Source organism: Homo sapiens, chromosome 13 (assembly GCF_000001405.40).
Source record: "Homo sapiens chromosome 13, GRCh38.p14 Primary Assembly".
In the NCBI taxonomy this organism is placed as follows: domain Eukaryota; kingdom Metazoa; phylum Chordata; class Mammalia; order Primates; family Hominidae; genus Homo; species Homo sapiens.
In genome coordinates, this window is record NC_000013.11 from 77,354,477 (window position 1) to 77,361,684 (window position 7,208).

The following is a 7,208-nucleotide window of genomic DNA, read 5'->3' on the forward strand; positions in this document are numbered from 1 at the left end:
GTCCCCAGGTGATGGTAGTCATCAGATATATTCTCCATTTCATATTAAAATCAATTTGTTTCTGTATAGAAAGAAACATTGTATCCAAAACAATGCTATTTTTAAAAAACTGACCCTAACTGAAATAACAGTATATATTTATTTACAAAAAGGTTAAAAATTGGATGAAGGATTTCCACTTCTGAAATTATGTTGGACTAAATATCTCTGAGAGGATCTTCCTTTACAGAATATTTAACTTATTGATACACATTGGAGGCATTGCTGGTTTTGCAAATGATAAAGGAATTCTCTAAGGATAACATAGAACATACAACAACATAAACACAAAAAAAAAAAGAAACTGCAGAGCTGGGGCTAGAGCTTTTTGTATATGCTTGAAAATGTCTATAACAAATTTTACAGATATCAAGATAGTTGGGGAGAAGTTAGAGGGTTAGGATGAGGAAGAGCATATATCCAGATTTAATGATATTGTTCATGTTCTGGATCTTAGATCAGATAATGGGTATAATTTTTCTAACTTACATATTTATCACATGTCTTATATACTAGTATTATGTATTTTTATTTTTATTTTATTTTTTTGAGACAGAGTCTCAGTCTGTTGCCCAGGCTGGATGCAGTGGTACACTCACAGCTCCCTGCAGCCTCGACCTCCTAGGCTCAAGTGATCCTCCTGCCTCAGCCTCCTGAGTGAATGGGACTACAGGCGTGCACCACCACGCCTGGCTAATTTTTTTTTATTTTTTGTAGAGATCGAGTATTTGCCATGTTGCACAGGCTGGTCTTGAAATCCTGGGCTCAAGGAGTCCACCCATCTCAGCCTCCCAAAGTGGTGGGATTACAGTGAGCCACTGTGCCTGGTCGTATTACTTATTCTTAAATTTAAAAAGTTTAAATGTATTTTTCAACTTTTTATTTTAAAATTTTAAATACAGAGAAAAGTTGAAAGAATGGTACAAAGAATATTCACGTACCTTCCACTAAGTTCAAAAATTAACATGCTGGCAAATATTTAAATATTTCTGTCTATATACATGCATAAAATAATTTTTATTCCGAAATATTTGAAAGTCATTTGCAGACATATGAAACTTCACTCCTAAATATACCACTATAAAGTTTCTAAGAATAAGAATACTTTACTTAATCACAATGCTATTATTATGCTCAAGAAACTTAACAATAATTTTATATTATTTTATATCCAGTCTGTAGTCAAATTCTCCCTCTTGTCTCCAAATTCCTTTTACAGATGTATATTTGAATGTATGGAATTTGATTATTGAGTTTGATCGCCCCTCTTTCTCTTTTAATCTAGAACAATCCTCGACTGGCTGGGCGTGGTGGCTTATGCCTGTAATCCCAGTGCTTTGGAAGGCCGAGGTGGGAGAGTCAACTGAGCCCAGGAGTTCGAGGCTGCAGTGAGCTGTGATCACGCCACTGCACTCCAGCCTGGAGAGCAGAATGAGACCCTGTCTCTAGAAAAACAAAAAAGGAAGGAAAAAAAGAAAAATTCTCTACCCAAATATTTTTTCATGACGTTGACTATTTGAAGAGGCTGAGCCAGTTTTCCTATATAATATGTCCCATATCCTGACTGTTTCCCATGGTGTTGTTCAACCTGTTTGTCTATCCCCTTTATTTTGTGTATTTAGGTCTAGACTTGATTAAATTCAGGTTTAACCTATTTGTCAAGAATGTTTAATTTTGTTCTCAAGATAGGTAATATTGTGACTTCATATGTTATCAGGTGACACACGTCAGGTTGTCCTATTACTGGTGATACTAAGTTTGGATGGCAACTACCAGATCACCAGGTTGCAAAGGTACATTTTACTCTTTGGAATTAATAAATAATCTCAGAGGTGATCCTAGGGCACTGCAGGAATATCCTGTTCTCCCAACAGTATGTTCCACACTATGGTTTCAGCAAACATTTACTAGGTGTTACAAAATCATGATTTTCTAATCCTGTCGTACCAAATAGAGATTTTTCAGTACTTTTTTGTTTTTAAAAGTATTACAGTAGAGTGCTAGAGCTTTAACACATGAGTTAAACTCAGTGTGGTTTTTATTTATTAGTATTATTATATAGTTAAGTTGACATAGAAACTTTATTTTTTAAATATAGCACTATGGACTGAATTGTTTCCTTCTCAAATTCATATGTTGAAGCCCTAACCTCCAATGCCATGATATTTGGAGATGGGGCCTTTGGGAGAGAATCAGGTTTAGGTGAGGTCATGAGGGTGGGACCCTCATGATGAGATTAGTGCACTTAAAAGAAGAGATACCAGAGAGCCCTCTCTCTCTCCCTGTGCCCCTCTCTCTGAATGTGAGGCTACAGCTCAAAGGTGGCCATTTGAAAGCCAGGAAGAGGGTCCTCACTAGAACCTGACCATGCTGGCAACCTCACCTTTAGCTTCCAGAACTGTCAGAAAATAAGTTTATGTTGTTGAAAGCCACCCGGACTGTGTTATTTTGTATGGCAGCCCAAGCTGTCTAACCCACAGAGTTTTCTAAGTATTATCAAACCCATTGTCCCACCTCCACTCCTAACACATTTCTCACAAATTGCCAGACATTTTCTTAGGAAATATGACCCTCCACTATGAATTACATATGCTGAAAAACATCGAGCAGCGTATTTATTGCTATTTCTGTGCATCATTGCAGTGCAGACAAATGTGATACTAAGCAAAGGTTCTCATGGTTGCCTTGCCCATGGAGTCCAATAGGACTAACTTTTCACTATTATTAATAATGCACATCATTGAATCTAGGTCTTTCTCCAAGCTTTTTATGCCTTAGGATAAACTCTAAAGATCGAAAAACCTGGTCACAGTTATAAGCCTTTTAAAGACTTACGATCTGAATCTCTAGTTTGCTTTCCATAAATATCGTGCTAAGTTCTACTTATACTAGCTGTTTGCAACTGTTCATTTAAATACCACAATCCTCAATACTAATCATTAGAATTTAAAATATTTTATAAATATAATGGGAAAACATTTAATTTGTAATTTCTTTGATAACATATTTTTTCATTTTAATTAGACATTTGTATTTTTCTTTAACTTGTTTTGTCATAGCATTGTCAATTTTTCTATAACAGTTTCAACATTTTCTTAATGATGAATGTTGAATGACTACCAACCAGGTTATATTTTATTGCAAATTAGTTTTTACACTTTGACTTTTGAAGAAAGCTGTTTTATTAGATACCGTGTTCCTACCAGTGTTAAAGGGACACTAGGAAATGTGGGAAGAAAGTGTTTCCTTGTATCTTGTTTCCAGAAAGCTTATTTAACACATACCCATGAGAATCAGGTAGGCTAAGTGTGTTTTAAGTCAATGCCATTTCTAAGAGGATATTTGATTTTAATAAATATTTTAGTAATGAATCTAAATGTACTTATTAAGTGCCCAAAGCATAGCAATACTCAGAGAGCAAGTTTTAAAACTATTCTTCCTTTGCTATTCAGCTTCTTCATCAAGGTTTACTTATGGTATTTTTTATATGGTCATGCTATCAATTACCAGAGATGCAAATACATGGTCATACTGTAGAAATTTTAAAATTAAAACTTGTCTATGCCTATTTTGAATTAGAATTTATGAAATTGAAAGATTAGCTAAATGCATTTGCTGCCTTTTGCAAGCTTTGCTAACTTGAAACCTCCCTTCTCCTTATACACTTCCTCAAAGGTGAGATAAGAAAATCACTAATGCTCGGCCTTGGTTACCAACTGTGCTAGATGATATTTCTGCACACTATAGCCAAATGGCAGCCTCTTTCTATTGTCTGTAGTGAATCCATCTTCTGGTCATTCAGCCAAGGTGCAGCCTCACTTTGAGGAGCAAACATAGCTCTAAGGGCTGACACATCTGTATCACAGTTTTTGCTACCAATAACATAGCCTGATACATTATCATTACAGTGGCATGACTTGGAGAAATATAGGATTTTGCTTTGGTATTTGTCAGTTACACTTTATATTTTATTTTTTATTTTTATTTTTATTTTTTGGGGACAGAATCTCACTCTGTTGCCCAGGCTGGAGTGCAGTGGCTCAATGTCAGCTCACTGCAACTTCCACCTCCTGGGTTCAAGCGATTCTCCTGCCTCAGCCACCTGGGTGGCTGGGATTACAGGCACGAGCCACCACGTCTGGCTAATTTGTATATTTTAGTAGAGACAGGGTTTCACCATATTGGCCAGGCTGGTCTTGAACTCCTGGCCTCAAGTGATCCTCCTGCCTCAGCCTCCCAAAGTGCTGGGATTATAGGTGTGAGCCACCTCGCCTGGCAGTTACACCTTATTTTGCAGTTATTTTTGTATTTGGCTAATTCTACTCACCATCCTTCCAACACTGTAACTCTCAGAGGGCAGAGATGTGTCTCACTTATTACTCTATTCCTGCAGAGAGTTCATGTGAATATTTGTTTTAGGAAATTGAGTTAAATCATCCTGTTTTTAGTTTGAGTTATTTGAAAATAACTAATAACTCCATATTGATTTTAAAAAACTAACTCTATAATGATGTGGAAATATAGATCCATGTTTTACAGTCCTTAGATTTCTTCTAATGTCTGGTTTAAATTCTCTCTGCTGTAATTTCTATCTGCCACATGGGACTGAGGATAATTGTTTTGTATCATTTGTACACAAACCTTTTTAATACTCAAAAACAAGACTTAATCCTTCTTAAACCTTCTTTATTTCAGTTCATATAAATTCACTTCCTTTACTCACTCCTTACTACCAAATTTTAAATTATATCTGTCCTTTTATGATGAACCTCCTCCAGGTTCCTATGCAAAACTTTATGAACGTTCTGACTAATGCATAGTTGTTTGCACAGTGGTAAGTCATTTGCATACTTGTGGAATCCAGAGATCAACAGAATCATGAAAACAAGAGCAAACTTTGGACGTGAAAGAAATCATTAAAGGCCAAATCATTTCCCACGTCACCCCTCTAGGTAGAAAATTGGGTAATAGAGGGTTTGTTTAATATGATGCCTTTTTGTTAGTCATCTTGTGAACCTAATAGAGGAACTATTTCTGTTCTTCTAGTGTATTGAGATAAGTAGCAAGAAAGTGCCAATTCAAATTTTGTGAAATAAATGAAATTTTCTACCAGATTATGTTTTGAAGGACAGATTCAGTCAACAAGCTCTGTTTAACATATATGAAGATAATGAAATTGATTCACTGAACCATGCAGTTAGAATGTGGTTTTAATACCGTCAGTGATCCAAATATATGTTTACCCTGGGATTATAGCATGAACACTCAAAATCTCTGTGCCCTAATCAGTGGTGTGTGACCAAACTACAGCAAAACCATTGATTTAAACTATACTTTAAAAGTTTGGTGTGATACCAAACTACAGCAAAACCATTGATTTAAACTATAGTTTAGAAGTTTGGTGTGATACCAAACTACAGCAAAACCATTGATTTGGCCACTAAAATAGACAAAAAGGTATCCATGGCCTCATTAGTTCCAAGCTCTAATAAACTACCCAGAAATAACTGACAAAAGGCAAAATCTTCCATATGACCTTCCAATATTTTCTCTCTGGCATGGCAAAAGAGAATACAAACTTCTTTTGAGCCTGTTGATTTGGGGATTTGACTTTATTGTGAAGCAGCAACCCTATTTTTTGTTAGTGCCAGTCATTCTAGCTAAGTTTACCCAGGGGACGTGAAGAGCCCCGAATCACTGGTGGTAATTGAGTCAAACTGTATTAGTAACCACAATGTGAGCCTGCAGTGAACAGAAAATTCCACTCACAGTGGCTTACTTATGTAGAGATTGAGGTGTCTCACACAAAAAGGTATCCACAGTAGGTGAGGAATTGGTGTAACAGCTCAGCATTTTCCTTTGTATTTGTCTACTATTCTTACATTATTTTTATTCCCATGCTCATGTTTGCCTTATTGTCACTTGATGGTGGCTACACTGTAAGCCCTGTAGTCACATACCATTCGTGATGAAGAAACAGGAAGAAGGAAGAAGAAGCACCAGAAGTCATCTGCATTTTCTTCTCCTTTTCCTTTTCTTCTTCATACATACACAAAAGCAGGAATATTGATATTGTAAATCCCCAGATTCAACTACTATCAGCATTTTGCCAATCTAGTTTCATCAGTTCCCTTCTGGCTTTAACAAGTATATAATAAAGCAAATCCCAGACGTCATATCATTTCATCCATAAATATTTTAGAATGGATCTCTAACATTTTAAGATAACAATAATATCACTATATCACATAAAATCAACAATAATTTCTTTCTTTCTTCTTTCTTTCTTTCTTTCTTTCTTTCTTTCTTTCTTTCTTTCTATCTCTCTCTTTTTTTTTTTTTTGAGACTTGCTTTGTCACTAGACTGGAGTGCAGTGGCACCATCTTGGCTTAGGCTCACTGCAACCTCCGCCTCTTGGGTTCAGGTGATTCCTCTGCCTCAGCCTCCCAAGTAGCTGGGACTACAGGCACATGCCACCACGCCTGGCTAATTTTTTTTTTTTTGTGGATTTTAGTAGAGATGGGGTTTCACCATGTTGGCCAGGATGGTCTCGATATCCTGACCTCGTGATCCGCCTGCCTCAGCCTCCCAAAGTGCTAGGATTACGGGCGTGGGCCACCATGCCAGGCCTAAAGTCAACAATAATTTCTTAATGTCACCTTGTACCTAGAACATAATCAAATCCTCCTAATTTTCTCAAGTGTTTGGATCAGGAGCCAAACAATGTTGGTTGCTAAGTCTCTTGTAATTTATTGTGATATAGATCCCTCTTATTTTTATGTCATTTACTTGTTCAAAATTTTTTTTTTAAAAGAATTTCCCACATCCTGGAAGTGGCTTTATGTTTTATTTTACACATTCCTGTAGGGACTTGGCTAAATATGTGAATAAATACAGTCTCATTTTTGGGGTGAAAAGTATTTCAGAGATGGTGATGATCCTATTGTCTTACATCAGGAGGCTCATACTGGCCGATGGTCTCATTTTTCCAATGCCAGGACTGATCAGTGAGTTCATGTGTGATCAGCCTGATCCATCCACTGTAAATCCCCCACCCATATTTCATCTAACAGTTTTGACACTTATTCTTTTATTTTATTTTCTCTTCTTCTCCTTCTCCTTCTCCTTCTTCTGAGACAGGGTCTCACTCCATCACTCAGGCTGGAGT

The 7,208-nt window shown here is 36.5% G+C and overlaps 2 annotated features.

Moving 5' to 3' along the window:
- Positions 301-470: an enhancer, noted in NCBI's record as "experimental_33339 CRE fragment used in MPRA reporter constructs". NCBI's record gives its function as "activates a minimal promoter by MPRAs in K562 erythroleukemia cells, with activity observed for the introgressed 13:77928997 or rs17763409 variant allele {active_cell/tissue: K562}" and the evidence as "EXISTENCE:reporter gene assay evidence [ECO:0000049][PMID:34662402]".
- Position 386: a transcriptional cis regulatory region, noted in NCBI's record as "Neanderthal adaptively introgressed variant 13:77928997 (GRCh37/hg19 assembly coordinates) or rs17763409 in the experimental_33339 CRE". NCBI's record gives its function as "modulates activity of the experimental_33339 enhancer by MPRAs in K562 erythroleukemia cells {active_cell/tissue: K562}" and the evidence as "EXISTENCE:reporter gene assay evidence [ECO:0000049][PMID:34662402]".